General features: G+C 41.3%; 1 protein-coding gene and 1 pseudogene across 4 annotated transcripts, besides 4 other annotated features; both read right to left on the bottom strand.

Annotated features, from left to right (window-relative positions):
* Nucleotides 9,359-10,465, bottom strand: FUNDC2P1 (FUN14 domain containing 2 pseudogene 1; annotated as a pseudogene).
* Nucleotides 13,407-20,632, bottom strand: BTF3 (basic transcription factor 3). Of its 4 annotated transcripts, none has more exons than NM_001037637.2 (6): nucleotides 20,275-20,632; nucleotides 19,872-19,940; nucleotides 16,473-16,586; nucleotides 15,957-16,158; nucleotides 14,671-14,727; nucleotides 13,407-13,882 (listed from the first exon to the last, which is right to left on the bottom strand). In NM_001037637.2, exons 1-6 carry the CDS (start codon nucleotides 20,404-20,406, stop codon nucleotides 13,836-13,838), a joined length of 621 nt encoding a protein of 206 aa, NP_001032726.1. In that variant the 5' UTR covers nucleotides 20,407-20,632; the 3' UTR covers nucleotides 13,407-13,835. The 4 variants fall into 4 exon arrangements, with proteins under 4 accessions (NP_001032726.1, NP_001198.2, NP_001380581.1 ...); NM_001207.5 differs by having other exon boundaries at nucleotides 20,516-20,632; NM_001393652.1 differs by lacking the exon at nucleotides 14,671-14,727.
* Nucleotides 19,834-20,644: an enhancer, noted in NCBI's record as "NANOG-H3K27ac-H3K4me1 hESC enhancer chr5:72794255-72795065 (GRCh37/hg19 assembly coordinates)". NCBI's record gives its function as "activates a minimal SCP1, AML or CMV promoter by ChIP-STARR-seq in naive H9 embryonic stem cells {active_cell/tissue: H9 hESC(naive)}" and the evidence as "EXISTENCE:reporter gene assay evidence [ECO:0000049][PMID:30033119]".
* Nucleotides 19,834-20,707: a biological region, named in NCBI's record as "NANOG-H3K27ac-H3K4me1 hESC enhancer GRCh37_chr5:72794255-72795065".
* Nucleotides 20,148-20,197: a silencer, noted in NCBI's record as "silent region_16089". NCBI's record gives its function as "represses an Ori minimal core promoter by ATAC-STARR-seq in GM12878 lymphoblastoid cells {active_cell/tissue: GM12878}" and the evidence as "EXISTENCE:reporter gene assay evidence [ECO:0000049][PMID:35858748]".
* Nucleotides 20,408-20,707: an enhancer, noted in NCBI's record as "active region_22658". NCBI's record gives its function as "activates an Ori minimal core promoter by ATAC-STARR-seq in GM12878 lymphoblastoid cells {active_cell/tissue: GM12878}" and the evidence as "EXISTENCE:reporter gene assay evidence [ECO:0000049][PMID:35858748]".

Genomic DNA, 20,737 nt, shown 5'->3' with positions numbered 1-20,737 from the left:
TTTTGGATACCCTTGAGGGCTATGATGCTAAATAAGCAATGACTTATTAAAAGTAGCTTTGTGGGCCGGGCAAGGTGGCTCATGCCTGTAATCCTACCACTTTGGGAGGCCGAGGCAGGTGGATCACGAAGTCAGGAGATCAAGACCATCCTGACTAACACGGTGAAACCTCGTCTCTACTAAAAATACAAAAAATTAGCCGGGCGTGGTGGCACACACCTGTAGTCCCAGCTACTTGGGAGGCTGAGGCAGGAGAATGGCTTGAACTTGGGAAGTGGAGGTTGCAGTGAGCCCAGATCCCGCCACTGCACTCCAGACTGGGCGACAGAGTGAGACTCCGCCTCAAAAAAACAAAACAAAACAAAACAAAATAAAAGTAGCTTTCTTTCTTTTTTGCCTCTCACAGCTTCATTATCCTTTAGACGAGAGAATTAATTTTCAAATGGATCACAAAAGGTGGGCAAGATGATCTAGTAGGATTAGAGGAGAAAATATTAGAATCTTTATTTTTACATTGTATATTTAATCTCATCCTTCTTAAATTTAAATTTTGAGTTAAATATTGTAAAACAATGTTTTACAATAATATGCATATTAGTGGACTAGTACAGGTATATAATCTATAAATAAATTGTGATGGAATGCTAATTTTATTTAATTATTATTATTATTATTTTTGAGACAGAGTGTTGCTCTGTTGCTCAGGCTGGAAGTGCAGTGGTACAATCTCGGCTCACTGCAACCTCCACCTCCCGGGTTCAAGCAACTCTCCTGCCTCAGCCTCCCCAGTAGCTGGGATTACAGGTGCATGCCACCACGCCCAGCTAATTTTTGTAATTTTAGTAGAGACGGAGTTTCATCATGTTGGCCAGACTGGTCTCAAACTCCTGACCTCAACTGAGCCACCCGCCTCGGCCTCCCAAAGTGCTGGGATTATAGGCGTGAAACACTGTGCCTGGCCAGAATGCTAATTTTATTTTATTTAGTTATTTTGTTACTGAAGGGATATAGAATCATAAAAGTTTGGAGACCTCTATTCTAAGACAGTAGCTGTCATCCTGCCTGTATTTCAGAATCACTAAGAGAGATTTTTAAATAAATTACATTATGCCTCACCCCATCCCAGACTCAGTGAACCCAACCTTCAGGAGTGAGGTATTGAATATGTGTATTTTCAACAAGCACTTTCTGATGATTCTGACACAAACCTCCTTGCTAAAAACCATATTGTTATCTAGAGCTAAGTAAGTTCACCAAGGGAAAAGCAGATATCTTTCTTGTTTACCTTTGTATCTATATATATAGCATAGTGCTTAACACAGAGTAAATGCTAGCTGAAGGAATGAATGAACAAATAAGCCACAACCCAGAGATAGCCTCTGACTGCCCCAGTCTTTGTTTTCATGCTTAGTGTTTTCATATAATTGTTTTACACATTCAAGAACCTTTTATATATAAAATTGGGTACCTTATTTTGATTGCTTTTAGTAAACAGTTGTTTAATATGTATTTTAGCATTATTTAGCATTTAACATTTCCTATTATCAATTATACTATTTTAAAAAATATTGGCTGGGCCCAGTGGCTCATACTTGTAATCCCAGCACTTTGGAAGGCCAAGTGGGAGAATCACTTGGGCCCAGGAGTTGGAGGCTGCAGTGAGCTGTGATCACACCACTGCACTGAATTCAGCCTGGGGAATGGAGCAGGACCCTATCTCCAAAAAAAAGTCTTTACGTCTAAAGCTTTCTTGTGTATATCCAATTATATGCTTAGAATAGAGCCTCAGAAGTAGGATTTCTAGGCCAGGTGTGGCGGCTCATACCTGTAATCCCAGCACTTTGGGAGACCAAGGTGGGTGATCACCTGAGGTCAGGAGTTCGAGACCAGCCTGGGCAACATGGTGAAACCCCATCTCTACTAAAAGTACAAAATTAGCCAGGTGTGGTGGCAGGCGCCTGTAATCCCAGCTACTCGGGAAGCTGAAGCAGGAGAATCACTTGAACCCAGGAGGCAGAGGTTGCAGTGAGCCGAAATCACACCCCTGCACTCCAGCCTGGGCAACAAGAGTGAAAATCTGTCTCAAAAAAAAAAAAAAAAAAAAAAAAAAGGGCCGGGTGCAGTGGCTTATGCCTGTAATCCCAGCACTTTGGGAAGCCAAGCTGGGCAGATCACGAGGTCAGGAGATTGAGACCATCCTGGCTAACATGGTGAAACCCCGTCTCTACTAAACATACAAAAAAATTAGCTGGGCGTGGCGGTGGGCGTCTGTGGTCCTAGCTACTCAGGAGGCTGAGGCAGGAAAATGGTGTGAACCTGGGAGGTGGAGGTTGCAGTGAGCCAAGATTGCGCCACTGCACTCCAGCCTGGGCGACTGAGCGAGACTCCGTCCCCCTCCTCCAAAAAAAGTAGGTTTTCTAAGTCAAAGAGTAAAAACTTTTATTTTCTTTTTCCCCTATGGCAATTTTTTTCTTTTCTTTTCTTTTCTTTTTTTCTGGGACAGGGTCTTACTCTGTCACCCAGGCTGGAGTGCAGTGGTGCAATCATGGCTCACTGCAGCCTTGACCTCCCAGTTTCAAGTAATACGCCCACCTCAACCTCCTGAGTAGCTAGGACCAGAGGTGCACACTACCATGACTGGCCAATTAAAAACAAAACAAAACAAACAAACAAACAAACAAACAAAACTTTTTGTAGAGACGGGGTCTCACCATGTTACCCAGGCTGATCTCAAACTCCTGGGTTCAAGTATCCTCCCACCTTGGCCTCCCAAAGTGCTGTGATTACAGGCAAGAGCCATTGTGACCAGCCGAGAGAGTAAGAACATTTTAAAGGCTGTAGCTACTGTGGGAAGAATAAATTAACATTGAACCCAGATCTGGTTCAAGGAGCAAGGCCTTGCTTGCAGGGTCCTTGTGGTCTGGCAGAGTGAGAATCTTCAGCAGGGATTTTTGGTGTGGCGAATAGACTTGGAGTGTCTGATTGCCTTCTTGTCCCTGTTTCTACCACTGACAGGCTGTGACACTTAAGATTCTTCAAGCCTAAGTTTCTTCACCAAGAATGTGAATATTCATAGCTATGTGACAGGGCTGCTAATTCTGAAGCACTATCCAATGGTAGAGCTAAAAGCATTTATTTGTATATTTGACATAGTTCCAAAGGAACAAAAGATTAGAGTCTAGAAGTGGCTCTTATGAAAAGACACCACTCCATCTCCCTTTTGTTAAAAAATACTGTTTACCCAAAAGGGGGTTTGAGTGCTAGTTCCTTAGGTGGGGGCCCAAGAGATCCCGCAACTCCAGACTCAGCCCCTGAGGGAGGTTCAGAGCTGTTTAGCAACTCTGGCCAATGGGTCACTTTGGAAATATCAAAGGTGGGTATCGTTGTTGGCAAAAGGTAGTGCTGCTGTAACTGACAAAAATAATCATGAGGCTGGGTGCAGTGGCTCATGCCAATAATTCCAACACTGAGAGGCTAAGGTGAGAAGATTGCTTGAGGCCAGGAGCTCAAAAGCAGCCTGGCAACATAATGAGGTCCTGTCTCTATTTAAAAAAATAAATAAAATAAAATAAAATAACAAGTGGTCTGAGAACTCCTTCTCTTCGTGGTGTGCCAAAAAAACTGGTCAGGCAAGTTCTTGCTCATGGTGCCAAGCCACTCTAAATAAAACAGAAGCAGCTTCCGCTTCCTGTTCTTCAATGATTGCTTACTCCAGAAACCACTAAGCAGATGGCAAATGTTTGTCCTTTGGCATGTCTAATTGGATCCCAAAACCATGGTCCGCATTTCGTCTTTGCTTTTTTTTTTGTTGTTGTTTGTTTTCTTTTGTTTGAGACAGGGTCTTACTGTCGCCCAAGGTAGAGTGTGGTGGCGCGATCTCAGCTCACTACAACCTCTGCCTCCCAGGTTCAAGCAGTCCTCCTGCCTCAGCGTCCCAAGTAGCTGGGATTACAGGCATATGCCACCATGCCCAGCTAATTTTTGTACTTTTAGTAGAGATGGGGTTTCACCATGTTGGCCAAGCTGGTCTCGAACTCCTGATCTCAAAGTGATCTGCCTGCCTCAGCCTCCCAAAATGCTGGGATTACAGGTGTGAGTCATCACGCCCGGCCTGGTTTTGTTTTTGAGCCTGGGTCTCATTCTGTTGCCCAAGCTGGAGTACAGTGGCTCTATCATGGCACATTGCAGCCTCAACCTTCTGGGCTCAAGTGATCCTCCCACTTCAACCTCCCCAGTAGGCTGGGACTACAGGTGTGCAGCACCACACCCAGCTAATTTATTTTGGGTTTTTAACTTTTTGTAGAGATGGGGTCTCACTGTGTTGCCCAGGCTGGCATCTTTGGTATAGGGCTGTGTTCTCAAATTTGTGTGTGTTTAAGGATGACTCAAGGTATTCAGAAGATGTGCAGATTCCTGGTGCAACCCCTAGAGAGTCTGATTCTGTAGTCTGGGGTGGGGCCCAGGAAACATTAGCATAGTAGAAGCAGCCCTACCCAGATAGGAACCAGAAGACTGGGCTCCGTTTATATCAGCATAAACCTGAGAAGTCACTTCACCTCACTGGTCCTTCTTTCTTCATTGTAAAGCTTCATTTTTACGAGGGGAGCAATACCCACTCATCATAAGGCTGGTTGCCAGAAGATCAAATTAGAAACTGTAGACAGGAAAAGCACCATTATCACTAAAAGCACACACTCAAGGTCTAATAATTTTGGCTTCTGCCTTTCACAGTGAGAAAACCTGAACAACACCTGGTTAGGTAACACTGTATCCCCACTGTGAGCCTCTGTCCTGTGATAGAGACTCTCTTTTGTGCTTGTGTGTTTTGCGGTGACAGATCACAGCTGGCTTCCCACCAGGCAATGTCTTCTGATTTCCTACATGGCAGTCCTTGTACTGGGTGTGATCACCGCTGTGACTGGTCTTGGGATCACCTTTGGAATACCTGTAAAACCTGAAAGTATGTGTCACCTCTGGGTGGCCAATCTGTCAATAATTCACTCAACCAACAAGAGTATATTTATACTCCATATATTTCCAAAATGGGTGAGTCTACTGATAATGTTCGGCATGTGGTAGGTGCCAGCCACTGCTCTGTTCATTTTATACTTCTCATCTTTATTTTATTCTTAACAAACCTGCAGGGTGCTATCACCATTATGACTGAGAGTCGGTGGGGGGAGGCAACTTGCCCCAGATCATATCGCAAATACATTAATAAGCCAGGTTTCTGATCCAGGTCAGCCTGACTCTGAAGTCAGGATACAGTTTCCACCTTCCAGGAGTTTCCACTGTGATTAGGAGACTGGTGAAACAGTCGTGGGCAATACAGAACAGCATACGACCAGGAATTAAGTTGAGTGAGATGATACATATTTCCAGTAATTTGAGAGAAATCAGCTAGAACTGGTGCTGAAGGGACACGGTCATAAAAGTGAGAACTGGAGCCAAACCTTGTAGGGGGTTCAGATTTAGATTGAGGTTTGGGAAGAGGTTTGCCAGAGATGGAAACTGTGTACCCTCTGGTAGGACACAAAGGATTAGGACTTTGCCTTGCACCAAACTTGAAGTATGTGAGGGAGAGAGGTGAAAAATAACACTGAGTAGTTAAGGGGTGGGGGTGAGTGAAAAATAAGGAAGGATTATGGTCCAGTAGCACTGAATTGCATTACACACACGCATCCACACATTGACACCACGCTTCCTCTTGCCACACTCTGGCAGATGCTCTCCGCTCTGCCATGATGTCCTTCTTCCATTGCTTGTTTGGCTGGCTCATAGAGGGTTTAAGACTAATCTCAGGTGTCCCCAGACTGAGTGAGGTGTGCCACCTCTGTGCTTCCACAAATCCTGTGTAAAGCTTAACCCAGCTCCTGGACACACAGTGCAGTAATTATCTGTTCTGGAATGCATCTTGAAGACAAGCAATATCCTTCTAATCCCAGCCCTGCTACATGCTTATTGGACAAATGCCTTCAGTAATGCATGTTGATTAAAGAACTGAACCTTGATGCTGCCAGAAGTGGAGCCATGGAAGGCTTTTGAGATGATAAAAGCAAGCAGTATTTGTGTGGCTTCAGTGAAGGAAATGGGGCATAGAGAAAGTGATAGATTTGAAATATGGGAAACTGACTCATCAAATTGCCATGAAAACAAACAAACAAACAAAAACCTAAGGCTTAGGGTGTTGGTCTCCTGATGAGAACAGTTTTGGACTCACGATCCTAGTCAGCTTTGGGAGTTAGTAGGATTCTACACAATGGGACATAAGGGTAAGATCTGGATTCTCATTTTACCTTTTGAACACTCATTCAGAAAAGCATTTATTGAGCACATATTATGTGCCAATAATAGTGCTCTGCTCAGGTCTCCTTCAAGAGCGTCTGCATCAGGGAGCTCCTTTAACTGACAGCCCCAGCCACCACCTGTCTGGACCCACCACCACATTCATGCCAAGGCTACTCTTCCCCACGTGGTCCCCAGGCAATTACTGAGCACTGTGGGGTTGCTAGTGCTACCCATCCCTCAAGACATGGGACCCTGCTAATGGGTGACTTTGCCTCAAAGACTCCACCTTGGCCTGTCTGAAACTTTCTTAGAACTGGCTGCAGGCCAGGCACGGTGGCTCACGCCTGTAATCCCATCACTTTGGGAAGCCGAGGCAGGCGGATCACCTGAGGTCAGGAGTTCGAGACCAGCCTGGCCAAAATGGTGAAACGCCATTTCTACTAAAAATACAAAAATTAGCCATGCATGGTGGCAGGCACCTGTAATCCCAGCTACTCGGGAGGCTGAGGCGGGAGAATTGCTAGACCCTGGGAGGCAGAGGTTGTAGTGAGCAGAGATTACGCCATTGCACTGCACTCCAGCCTGGGCAACAGAGTGAGACTCCGTCTCACAAAAAAAAAGCTGCAGTCTGAGACTTCCTACGCAGACCTTCATTAACCCCCTCCTTTCATAGGCATTAGAACTGCATCAGGATAGGTTCCCTTGCCTACTTTTGCTTCCTCCCCAAACTATAATCCTCCAAGTTAGATTCACATCTAATCTAGTTTGGTGTTAATTTCTCAGAGGATGAAAAATGACACAAGTTCTTTCAGATTATCAGATCGTAACAGTTCTTGTCCCTAAAACCACAATGCCAAGCACCTCTTAGATTAAGGGATATAAACTAGTGTTATCTGCCTCTTAATTGTCAACAGTCCCAACTATAAAATATTTAAGATGTAAAATTTACCAAGCCCTCACCACTTCTAAATCAGGTACCTAAAGTATTTCCAGCCTGTTTATCACTCTACACACCAATCTGGAATTTTCTGGGTATACGTTATTTAGGTGTAAATATGTCTGAGATACAAATGTTACCAATGAGCTCTTTACATCTTAACTTCCACCATCTAATTTTTATAGCACTTGAAATTTTTAAAAATACCTTTCACATTATTTTGACTACCTCCCATTCATTTTTTGAATGGGTAGACTAATTACATTTAAACAATAATATCAGTTTAACTCATAGTATCCCCATGAAGTCAGCATAGAGAGTTACCCTTGCTCTCATTTCTAGCTAAGAAAATAATGGAGGGGGCTATATAACCAGCCCATGGTAAAGCTCAAGCCAGAGCCTATGCCTATGGACCCTCTCCCAGGCACCTTCCAGTACTTCTCCAGCAGTGGTGAGTGTATGCTTGTTTGCCCACATACAGTAGTATTACAAAAAAGAATGAGGGAGAATAAGAAAGAAAAGAGGGAGGAGAAATAATGGGCAAAAGAACAATGGTTACAGCTAAAGCTTCAGTCAAAAAAAGAACGATGGTAAGAAGCAGAAGAGGGAAGAGGGGCATGTTGTTATTAAAGCTGATGTTCATGGTCACGAATGCATGTGTCAACATTTAATACTTGTCTTATAAATCTTCCAGATTTAGGCCAGGCGCAGTGGTTCATGCCTGTAATCCCTGCAATTTGGGAGGCTGAGGCGGGAGGATCACTTGAGGTCAGGAGTTCAAGACCAGCCTGGCCAACATGGGGAAGTCCCGTCTCTAATAAAAATACAAAAATTAGCCGGGTGTGGTGACAGGTGCCTGTAATCCCAGCTACTAGGGAGGCTGAGGCAGGATAATCGCTTGAACCCAGGAGGCAGAGGTTGCAGTGAGCTGAGATGGCGCCACTGCACGCCAGCCTAGAGCGAAACTCCGTCTCGAAATAAATAAATAAATAAATATTTTCCAGATTTACCACATCGACAATGTAAGACAGCTTCACAGCAACTGGGCTTCTTGTGCGAGGACCTCAGCACTTGCTTGCCACCCTCCCAGCTGTGTAATGGCAAGTTGGATTGCAGTCAAGGGGAAGACGAACCTGCTACCCACTCTAGTAAGGCAGACAAGTAACCAAAATTTAAAAACAGTCACCAGCAACTAATCACTAAAATTCAGAATTATATGAAAACATTATTGTACGTGAATGCTTTCTATTAGAATTAATGCTTTTGTCTAATATAGGTCAAATGCCCAACAGTCTCCCACAAAACTTGATATTCAAGTGTCCCAACCAGAAGACTTGGACATATATGGACAAGGTGTGTGACACAAGAAATGACTGTGGTGATTGCTCAGATAAATCAGGTAAAAATGAAAATGTCATTAATTTTTTAATGGCTTCTTGGAGTGGCTACCCTTATACTTCAATTACATAAATTAACTCATCCTTACAAGCCTTCCTTAAGGATACATCCATGATTTTAAGATTCTGTCATTTCCAGTAGTTTGTGCATGTTTAAACTAGATGAATTCTCTAGCTAAGAATACAGCCAGTTCTGTAAGAATTACCAAAGGAAATAATCTTGACGGACAGCTCTTGTCTGCTATCAGATTCCTTCTATATTTCTTTACAAAGGTTGGTGAAGATCAAACAAAAATCTGTTGAGTGCTTTGGCTCTCAAAAATTTTTTTGTTTAACCTTTGCCATTTCCTTGCTTTTCCTCCCTCACTTTCCTCCTTCTCTCCTCCCCTCATTCTGTTCCTTACGGTAGTTTAATACTTGGCAGACACCTGATCACCCCACAATTTCATGAAAACATGGCAGAGGTGCAATTCCAATACCTCGTGGCCCCAGTTAGTAGTATCTGAAAGCCCTATCAGAAATACGCTAAATAGATAATTTCCTGCCCTTTGTCTGGTCATCGTGGAGGGTAGAAATAGAAATGCTAGGAATTACAGATAACAATGCTCTGACAAATAAAGACTAAAAGTATAAGGAGATCCTTTTCTTCTTGCTAGCTGCCAATTAGCAGTGATTCTTTTCCCTGCTGATTGAACATACAAACTCAAAGGGACCCTTTCTTTCTTTCTTTTTTTTTTTTCATGCTTAAAGGCAAATGTATTCAGTTCCTTTCCATGCAGCACACAATAAGGTTATCTATGTGCTTATTTCTTTTCCAAATCAACAGTTTGGGACAACCTTTCAGGATCCACTCATCCTCCACGGTCAGCCATCTTGCAATGTGTTCTCATAAGTGTCTTGCATGGGGGTAAAGGAACCTTCTTGTTGACCTACAGACTGACCTTCTTGTTGACCTACAGACTGACCAAGTAGGGGGTGTACTGGGAGGAGAGCTAAGGACTATTGTCTCTTCTGCCACCATCAAGCTCATGGTGCCACATTAATTTGTACCAGCAGAAGCTTATAGAAGCCACTCAGATTTGCCATGGCAGGCAGGAAGGCATGGGAGAAGGAGAGGAGGGACTCGATGTCCTACGATGGAGTGTAGAGGCTGCTGGCTGGAAAAAACCAGGAACAATGAACATGAGGTCATCTTCCTTAGGATGCCATGCCAAGCAGAAAGCCTCCGAAAAATCCCCCAGTCACTAGAACATTCTTCTTCACAAATGACACCACCTCCTCAGCTTTGCTCCTGACCTCAGTAGGTATCTGATTGCTCTTACGGATCTTCAGCTGCTCTTTGGCTTTCTTCATGTCCTTCTCCACTCGTTGCCAGTCAACTTTGATATACCCAGTATGGTTTGCAAGCTGAAGGAGAGAAAATCCACCTCCCACAGCTGTTGCAGCCAACTTTCCAACCTTCTGGAATATGAAACCCATGCACCATCCAGTGACACCTCCAATGAACAGCTGGGTTGCCATGCTATACTTTTCTGCTGAAGGTCCAGATTCCTGCCCGAACAGCTTACGCCACCATGGCTGCTTCTTAGCAAATTCCGTAAGGTCCAGTGACTCAAAATTTCCCTCAATGTTTCCTTGACTGGACGCGGCCATTTCGGTGAGCTTGTCTCGCGAGGACACACGTAGAGGATCTGCGCGGTAGGCCGCGGAGTGGCGCGCAGTTGTCGCCACCACTTGGCTTCCGGCACGTGTGGCAGATGTTTCCATTCCCACGGAAGAGGGCGCGCCGTGGCTGCTTGCAGTCTCCGCAAGCGGCTACATCACAGAGCTCAGCGGGCGGTGTGAGCACCCTTTCTTATTTATGCAATATGTCAGTAAGTTTATTTTTAGGCTGATGGTGAGGGGTAGTACTTGTCTTGGCTTTTCAAAGTACAAATTCTTTCACCCAAATATGTAGAATCTTTAATAAACATCTGCAATTTTTCCTGCTGGGCAGTTTTCACTAATATTTTTAAGATCCAGGGGGCTATTTCTTTTCCAATAATATCTTTTTCAGTCCACCTTGACATTTTAACAGTTATGGTTTTTAAAATAAATAAAATTGTCTAGTTTTACAGTGCCCAAAGTGTTCAGGCTGGAGATGTGATACTGTTTTCTTTGCTGACTGTGCCTGCATTCCCAGAACTCGCTGCAAAAATGGCATTCAAGACTGTGCTGATTGGAGCGATGAAAACTTATGTGAATAGAAGACTTTTCTAATCATTGTTTTGGAAAAGCTGAAAACTGTTATTAGTTGCCTTAATACTTCTCTCAAAAAAAGTATGTGTGCATGTATATATCTATATATGTGTATATATATGTATATATGTGTATATATGTATATATATGTGTATATATGTATTATATGTGTATATATATGTATATGTGTATATATATGTGTATATGTATATATACACACACACACATATACAAACATATATATCTTACTGGGATGGCAGAGGGAGGGAAGAGCTACTGAAGAACATGAATCCAGCATTAATGGAGAAAAAAAGATTAGTAGAAATCAGACCAAAATCTTACTTTCAGCTCATTTCTCAATCTGTTTCCAAATTTTAGAATGTAGCTCTCTGTTCTGTGCACCATAGGGTTATGGGAATGAAACAAACGTATTTTAGCTCAATTATTTTAACAAATAAAGGGTATTAATCCCAAAAGCTGTCAGATCGAAACAGATGTCTATTTCAGTTTCCAGCTGAAAACTAGTTTGTTCCGGTCTGCCCCTCTAGTCTGCCAGGGCCTAAAATTCTTTCCAGCAGGTAGTGAACTTGAAAGAGCAGACTTGGATTTGAATCTCATCCTAACACCTGGGGGGTGTGTGACCTGAGATAAATAATTTCACCTCTTAAAGATAATTTTCTTATCTGTACAATAAGGCTCTTTCTTGGGGTTATAAGCAAAGAAGACACAAAACAAGTGGTAGAGTGCTTTTAATATGTAACAGCAGCTAAACGGACTGTAGACAAAGAAAAATTAGAAAGATATGGTAGATTGTATTATTGTCCAAAAATATCTGCTACCCTGGAGGATTATACTTCCCCAGTCCCACAGCCACTACTCTGTATGTGACTTGCTTTGGCTGAGGAAGTTTATTAATGATATGCATCACTTCCCAGCATCACTTTGAAAGAGCCAGCTGATTGTTCTCCATATTTTCCCTATCATGAGACTGGCAATGTTCCAGTTAGATGTTTCTGGAGTACAGCGGAGCCCAGCCATGGGCAAACCACAAACTTCAAATGTGACAAACCTTTGTAGCAACTAGACTTTTGGTCCTTTCTAACTGTAACATAACCCTTCCTATTTTGATATTGAAGAGACTACAAGAAAAACTTGCCATATTAATCCATAGCCACGAACACAAACCCTTATTTACACAATAAGCTGAAGAAATAATTTTAGATTGTTGGAAAGAAGTTGCTGAGTGCAGGCACAACAGGCTTAACCTTAGACAACATCTGTCCAATAAGCAAGATATGCTGGGATAGGCCTCACCTGGAAATCGACTGCACTTCTGTTTAGTCCCTTTCCGCTAGGCCTAGATCAAACTGGACAGATATTCAGACAGTGGCATTCTCCACAAGCTTGTCAGTCAGTCAGTCACCCCCAATACTTCTTGGGCTGAGAATGTTTCCAATCATGCTACTCAAAGTAGGGCCAGTAGGCCAGTAGCATTAGCATCACCTGGGAACTTGTCAGAAACACAAATCCTCAGTCCCCATGCCACTGCCCTGCAGCTTAGCCATTCCACTTGCTTTGGTTTTGTTTGTAACAGCTTTAAGAGCCAGCGCATGACCCACCATCTTCTCTGCCAGGAAGCCGAGTGTCCCAGATAGGTGCTGCCATCAGGGTGGGATCTAGCGTGACTATATAAGCACAGCCCAACCTGACCAAGAGTCTGTAAATGTGCACTTAGTTTTTATAATTTTGTTACAGTTGAGACTTCAGGAGTCTTGTCACTGTAGCAGTGTACTTCAACAAAACTGATAAACATCCTGAGGAAAATACAATGTAAATATTTGCAAATACTGTTTACTCAAAACTTTGTTTTCCCTACGGTTAATAGTGACTTTTAGATACAACTGTATAATACTTTCAAAAGGTACTTGCAAATTGCTATGAAAATTTAAAATAAATTACCATTACAAGTAGAAACTATTTTCTCCTCAAATGGCCTTGGTTCAGATTACACAATTGTTTTCATTGTAATTTGTAAAAATGTTTAAAAGTAACCCTATGTTTAGGGATTTTCTGGGACCATGAAACTGTCTGGTAACCTGATTATAGTGGCAGACATTATAAATTCTTTTAACTGTATATGCTCAATTTTACTGTATATTTTTTATTAAATAAAAACATAACCCTATTCATTTATTAGTGTTGACACTTAAGGAAAAGACAATGACCCAGGAGCCACTCCTATTCTAAACACTACCTTTTCCAAGTCACCTTATAAAATATCCTACAAAGAAGGGATCTGGAGATTACTTTTACTTTTTAGAAGTTCTAAACCTCAGGTTACATCTACAAAATGGAGCTATTAGTTCTTCACAAATTGAGGAATAAAGGAGATAACACCGAGGTAATTCATAAAAGGCACTTAACATATGCTTACAATAGAGAATATCAGGGAGAAATGTCTGTTTATCCACTAAGGAATACTCTATTCTCATATTTACACCCACCATATAAATCATGGAAGCACTAAGGACTGTTGGAGAGCAAAGTTTTCAAACCTGAGAACTTTATACCACCTTTGTTACACTACACCGTGATTTTAAATCTTTAATCAAATTCCAAAGGTTATCAGCCATATTACATGCCATGATTAGCTTTCTATAAGCAATTTTTTTTACTGTGTACAGATCGGTGTCAATGAAATAAAAAAATAAAACTGTATACTAGGCAAAGAACTTTATTAATCTTTGTTTCAAACTTGATTCCCAGGCTTCTTCGGCTTAATTAGCTGCAAAGAATGAATTGTGTATAAGCAAAAACTGAAAAGAGCTGCAGTGTCCAAGGGGCTTGGGCTTAAAAATATTAGAGATCTAGATTTTATCAGATCCATAAACAAAAATTTCTTAAAAAGCAGTCATAATATAAAATAGCAGCTCCCAGTAACTTCTTCAGGTTTTATCTTCAGAAGTTGACTCAATTCAGTTTGCCTCATTCTTGGAAGCCTCATCAAAATTCTCCACAAGATCTAGGAAAAGGAAAAGAGTAGAAATTCTTAAAAAAGCCAAATCTACAAATAATTATCAGATATTAAAAGGGGATGAAGGAAAGACATTCATTTGCCAATGATGATAAATACTGTGTCATAGCCCCAAGAACAAGAATGCAAAAAAAAAAAAAAGTGAAAAAAATGCCCCCCTCTTCCCATCTCATACATTGGTCAATAGTGGGGGAGCAGAACCAAAGAATACAATGACACACAATGTTAAAATTTTCCTGGATTCCTAAGGATACCTGTCTATGCAAAGTGGGAATATTTATGAGTCCAGTGATTCTCCTGCCCAATAAATATTTTAGAAGAACGTAAATTTATCCAATAACAGGTAAGAGACAAAAATGTCTCATGATTCCCAAAGGAGTTATGCTGCTACAGATTTTAGAATGCATATATATATCCCAAGATACCTGAACAACTCCACACCTTCTTGTAAATTCATGAGTTTCAAAGTAGGGAGCAAGGGTCATTAGTGCTCTGCAGGTAATAGTTATATTTAGGGTACTATATATATATACTTATTTATTCAATATTTAAGGTTAGATACCTACACATCCTTGGGATCCCAAACAGAAACAAGCCAAGTCAAGTCTATAAACATAATTCTCAATTACCTAATACTGCATTATTTTTCTCATTCTAAGTAAGATCTATGTCCATCTTAACTTACCACCCCTCTTCCCTGGGTAGTTTTTCCTACAAAGATTTCTTATTCTCCCTTGCTAAGATTCTCTAGGTTAACCACAAGTAAACGTTCCTACCTGGAACTTCATCATCATCATCCTCTCCAGTAGCAAGTGGTGCTTTTCCATCCACAGCTATGAAAGGAAAATGTAAACATTATTTGTCTAGGTTTTTAATAAATATTCACCAAAAAAAAAAAAAAAAAAAAAAAAAGAACAGATGAAATGCCAAGTGTTGTTACAACTTATTTCCATGATAAGGGACATTTGGGATTTTATCTATGATACTATCAATAACATGATATTCTAATGTCTACAAATGGGTTAAAATACTAGGAACAGCCAACAAACAAAATTCCATACCCATCCTTTCAATCCCTCTGGGCCACCATAGGCCCTGAGGTAGTATAAGGGCAGTAGGGAACTCTTAGAGTGCAGGTAAAACCCACATACCAAATCATGGTGAGATTTTGGGAGACAAATGAAGATGCCATTTTCTCAACTACTCTGTGTGTGGCATAAGGGTGATGCTCAACAACCACTTACTGAAATGAAAAAAGTTAAAGTAAAAAAATTAAAGAGTCTGTGAGTGGTAAGCATCCACTCTCCTTTATCACACAAGAATATGAACGTACACAGGAGAGTTATGTACTAGGCCCATACAGGCATCAGTGGGATACTTCAAAAGCCTATTTCAGCTCTGAAAGCCCTGACAGTTTAGAACCTGCAACTCAATGTGATAATAAAAATGAAAATTGAGGCAGATTAAGTCAATACCTAGAAAAACATGGGTAACTAAAGAGCCATATATAAGCCTCTGACTTCCTCCTGCATTCCTATTCTTCAAAATTTTAAGCACAGAAAACAGCATAACACTGCCACATCCTCAGATGTATATTCAGCTACACTATTTTCTGCCCCGAATAAAATCCCTATCACACTGTAATTAAAAATGCCAGAATACTGGCAAGCCATTTTTAAAAGATTACTGGTAATACGAACTATATAGATGAAACTGAAGTAATTTCATAATTTACACTAATTTTTTTTTCAATTCCAAACTTACAAGTAGTTATTGGCAAAGCACCAAATTAACATTTTCATCATTTCTAGTTAATAAAGTATCTGATCCAAATCAAGTAAGTAGAAAACATTCCACAAAATCAAGTGTAACAATCATGGCACGCTACATCAATTACTGCAAACTTGAGCAAGGACAGTTGCTTAAAATCAGTTACAAATCTGTTATTTTTAAAGCTTGCATTTCCAAACTTAAAAATACTCATATCCATTCTGAGCCCTGAGATCAGAAATCAGCTGCTAAATGAGTAATTCCCTGGTAAAACCATTACTAGGAAACTCACATTGTTTGGGCAGAGCTTCGGCCAGTCTCCTTAAACTAGTCAGACTATCCGCACCAAGCTGGTTTAAGATGCTGGGTAGCATTTCTGTCAGCTGCTTTGTCTCAGCATGGCCTGTAATGGTGAAAGTGTTCGCTGCCAGAGATGCCTGAACTTTAGGGTTGTTAAAGTGGATCACTGTTCCTTGGTTTGTAAACATATTCACCTATTAAGAAAAGAAAAATTTAAATTAGCAATGCTGACCAGTCTCTTTAAAAACAAATGTTTTATTAAACTAAGTCTGGCTAACTAGTATTTCACTGTGAAGCACAGGTGAAATTTTGCCTGGAATGGAATATGTATTCTAATAGCATTCAGACTTAATGAGCTCCCTGATATTTATTAATTTATGGTAGAAACACATCTTAGGGACTTTGAAGTCCCTAAGTTAAAAAAAAAAAAAACAACCCATTTAATGCATTAACGTTAACTTTTCCCAGCCAAATCTTGTTTTTTAAAGTAACAAAATTTGATACTTGCCTCTTCAATACCAGAGATATTGTTTACCCCTAACTTCTTTAAGGAGAACTGAAGTTTTTTGTCATCTGCTGTGGCTGTTCTATGAACCACCTTCTTCTTTCTGCGAGCAGTTCCCTAAAGTCAGGGAGAAGAGGAAAGAAAACAGCACATTTATACCACAACAGATATTTTTCAAATGGGAATAGTTTCCAATTCATTTCTGACCTTTGGATCTGTATAAGAACATTACCATAATCATAAACTTATGCAGTGAGCAGGCAGGCTAAGGCGAAGATAGAAGCAAAAAATGGGAAAGGAAAAGAATGATCTTTTCAAAGTTCTACTTTTTACATTTGCTCTAAAAGTGATCAAAGAGGTAGCATGTGTCAATCTAAATTAAGCATTTGAAAGAATTCCACATCCAGAATTATTAACCTCTTCTGTTTTTTTTTTTTTTTTTTTTTGAGACAGGGTCTCACTGTGTCGTCCAGGCTGGAGTGGCGCAATCTCGGCTCACTGCAACCTCCGCCTCCCAGGTTCAAGTGATTCTCCTGCCTCAGCCTCCCGAGTAGCTGGGATTACAGGCACCACCATGCCTGGTTAATTTTTGTATTTTTAGCAGAGATGGGGTTTCACCATGTTGGCCAGGCTGGTCTCAAACTGCTGGCGTCAAGTGATCCGCCTGCCTCGGCCTCCCAAAGTGTTGGGACTACAAGTGTGAGCCACCGCGCCTGACCCCTTTTCTGTTTTTATATTAAATAAAAATCAACATCCAAATTAATATTTACAGGCAAGACAGTGTATGGAACAATCAAATGAATCTGTATATAGACTTCTATAGGACTCGATAGTAAAGTCTGAAGCCCTTACCTTAACTTACAAGAGCCCTACACAAACTGTCCTGCCCTTAATATGCCACTCCTGACTGCATCTGCTACCATCCCTCTTCTTTAGCCAATAAACCTTGGCTATTCTTTGAACAGGCCAAGCAGGCTATGACCCAAGGGCCTTTGCACATGCTGTTCCTCTCCTTCCGGAACATCTACATGGCTCTTTCCCTCACTGCAGATCTCTACTCTTATGTCACCTGATCAAAGTGGTCTTTCTCAACTACCCAAAGTAAAATAGCAACTTCCACACTCACTCATCAATTTCTTTCTATCCTGGTTTATTTCTCTTCATAACACTTATTACTATAAGAGATAAATACATTTTATCATCCATCTCCTCTCCCTAGAATGTAAGCTCCATAAGGACTTCTGTTTATTGCTATAAACCCAGTATCTACAACAGTATCTAGCTCACTGAAGGCACTCAAGGAAAGTCTATCACACCCAACCACCTCACCGTCCCCCAACCTCCATCCCTATTCCTATTCATCCTTTAAAATCTTATTCAAGTCATTACCTCCTGTTTGCCTTTCCTAAATTCTGCAATTACCCCCTTTCCCTATGCCAAATCATTCCCATCTCTAGATTTTGAAAATGCTTCTACTATTGTACTATGTATATTACACTGTGAAAGAAGATTTTTTTAAGAAAAGACAATTATCGCCACTGCTAGGCTTAAAGCCCACCTAGGGACTTTAAACTTCTTAAAATTTTATATTCTCAGGATCCAACATAGTAAAGGCTTAAATAAATCTTGTTATTTAACTGAAGAAAATATCTATGGCTACAAAAAAAAAAAAAAAGTACTGGTTACTAACCTCTCCAAACTATTAAGTACAAAAATCACTTTGAAATGGTCATGTATGTATCTGGTTTCCAAAGAAATCTTCTCTAAGAAACTCAAAGGAATTTCTAAGATTGTAAAGACAAACCCAGCATACTTTCTAGAGGTTTCATACACTTCACATATGTAGAGTTCAATTTTCACTTAAATAATTATTATTAATGCTGTGATTAGATATGAAAATAAAGGGCTTTTGTAACATTTACCTAAGAGCACCTAACACCTGCAGTTTTCTCTAAAGCAAAATTAACTCACCTAATTTCACATCCCATAATAAGTACGTTTCTTAAACAGTGTAGAAATGTTTCCATATTGTGACTACAGAAATACTTCTTGTATTATTAGCTAAACGAGTATTAAGATGTTAGGACACAAAATTTAATCTTGTTATCAGCTTTAAATATCCTAGCAAATCTCAAGATTTCCTTTACCCTAAAATGATGTCTCCCAAAGTTAAAGCCTAATGATGAGAGTAACAACAAAAAGACTGCACATAAGCACATTATTCAAATTACTCCTTCTGAAACTGTACTGAAAGTAAGAGTGGTTAAAAACACCAATATAAGAGCATCCAAACACTGAGACACAAAAAATTTGAGTTTTGCTGGCACTTGAAGGCCACAGTCTGATAACAATTGATTAAAGAGGACAAGAAACATCTAATGTTGTTAAATGTGTGGGTGTGGATCCTGAAGATGGCTAACGTTAACAAAAATAAAAAGTAAAAAAAAATCAGGATAAATTCACCGCTGGCAAAGTTCAGTAATTTAACAAAGCTGTATATTATTATTTAAGTCTAAGTGCAACTTCTGGCTATCTCACAGCTAACTCTAAGTTAAACGCTTAAAGTTGGGAAAAACTAAAAGGTAATAAACATGTACCATGGAAGCTTTACAAGTTTTACCAAGTAAAGACATGCTCTGTTTCAACAAGCTACCACACCTTGTTAAATACTAAGAATGTGCTAACAATACAAACTAGGTAGACCTCTGTCTACAGTGGACTTCTTATTAATTACAGGACAATCTAAAAATCAGCTTCAAAAAAGAATCCCCTTGATGTGAATCAGTATCCACCAGGAAAAAAACAATTAATCAAAAACTGATCATTTAAAAATCAGTCACTTTAATTCCCTCATTTTTACAGTAATACAAAGTCAGAACAGGAAAGATACCTACTTGGGTTATATTTTCAAATCTAATAGTCACTGCTCTTAAACTCCAAAATGTACCCGTATCTTCAAATACCCTTGAAATATGCAACTACCCTAAAGAATATTTAGTTCAGAAAGCAGTACAGAAAGGTCTCAATTTACAAGAGAGACAAACAAGCACTGACTTTAGAAAACTCAGGCCAAAACAAGTCAAGGGTATGATGTGCACAACGATCTAACTGAAATGACACATTTTCCTTACTAATTAAATTAGGAAACACTTTTGTGTTCTACTTACACTCTGTAACACTGAAAACACAAACATGTTTACACAAAGGCGATGTTTTTAGCTCGTCTCACTGATGTGTCTCCAACCCTCGTCTCCCCCGCTCCTCGAGATTTGCTAGCTCCGTGAATTTCCCTCGATAGGCAAAGTTTGTCACCGATAATATAAGAAGCGCAAAAGGAATATGTTTTTTAAAATACCTAAACCTTAAAAAAAAAACCCACAAACCCGAACTATTAAAACTTACTTTCCCACCAATGCGCACTTGTGCCTGCAGTTTGGCGAGTTTTTCCTGGTTCATGATTGTTTCTTTCATCTAGAAAAAGAGGAAATCCTCAGCAAGGATAGGTTTAGCTCACTCTAGCATTCCATGCTCGTTATTTCCCAAGATACCAGCAGGAAAATAAACGTCCTACACAGGCCGAAACCTGGATCCCAAATCCACCCCGCAAAGCTCCAAATTTGGGTTTCCAGGGAGCCCAAAGAGCACCCGCCTCCCCACCACTCCCCCACAGCTCCCCGCTCTTGGCAGGCCCGGATGAAAGGCTCTACCCCACGCCTGGCCAGCACCCCCCACCCCTGGCCCTGGCCTGGCCTCGGCCTAGCCAGGGCCTGCCCGGCCCGGCCACTCTCCGCAAGCCTCGCGGTACCTGAGGCTCCTGTCCTCGGGTTCCGCCGCGAGGTGGAGGTTGAGACAGCGTCGCCTCGCCCCCAGGGCAGCCGCCCCTGGCTCGACCTCGCCCCCGAGAGTCAGCCTGAGCGGGTGCGCCTGTCCGTCGCATCGCCTTCCTCTCCTCCTCTGCCCTGTCCCTCCCTGTCTCGCTCCTTCAGGGAACTTCCCGCCCCCGCTCCCGTCCTCCTACCACGCCGCCGTCCAGAGCCTTTTTGTACCTTGTCGGAGCGAATAAGGGGCCGCGCGGGGGACTAGGGTTGGTGCTCAAGGGGTCTCGGGTGGACCACCTGAGATTAGGCGCACACACGCGGGGACGCAAGATGGCAGCTAAAGGGAGGCCGGAAGTGACACAAGGCCACTTCCTTCAAGAGTCAGGAAACTGACTTCGCCGCGAACTCGGTTCCTCCCTGCGCACGCGCGACAGCGTTTGTGATGGTCCA

Source organism: Homo sapiens, chromosome 5 (genome assembly GCF_000001405.40).
Source record: "Homo sapiens chromosome 5, GRCh38.p14 Primary Assembly".
Lineage (NCBI taxonomy): Eukaryota > Metazoa > Chordata > Mammalia > Primates > Hominidae > Homo > Homo sapiens.
This window is presented reverse-complemented; position numbering and strand designations above follow the sequence as displayed.

What these genes read in the sequence shown, in the direction of transcription:
- BTF3 (NM_001037637.2), bottom strand. Translation starts at nt 20,406, where the DNA reads ATGCGACGGACAGGCGCACCCGCTCAGGCTGACTCTCGGGGGCGAGGT. An exon ending in CCCGAGGACAGGAGCCTCAG is followed by an intron (nt 19,941 to 20,274) that starts GTACCGCGAGGC and finishes CTCTTTTTCTAG; the next exon opens with ATGAAAGAAACAATCATGAA. An exon ending in TGATGATGATGAAGTTCCAG is followed by an intron (nt 13,883 to 14,670) that starts GTAGGAACGTTT and finishes TCCTTTTCCTAG; the next exon opens with ATCTTGTGGAGAATTTTGAT.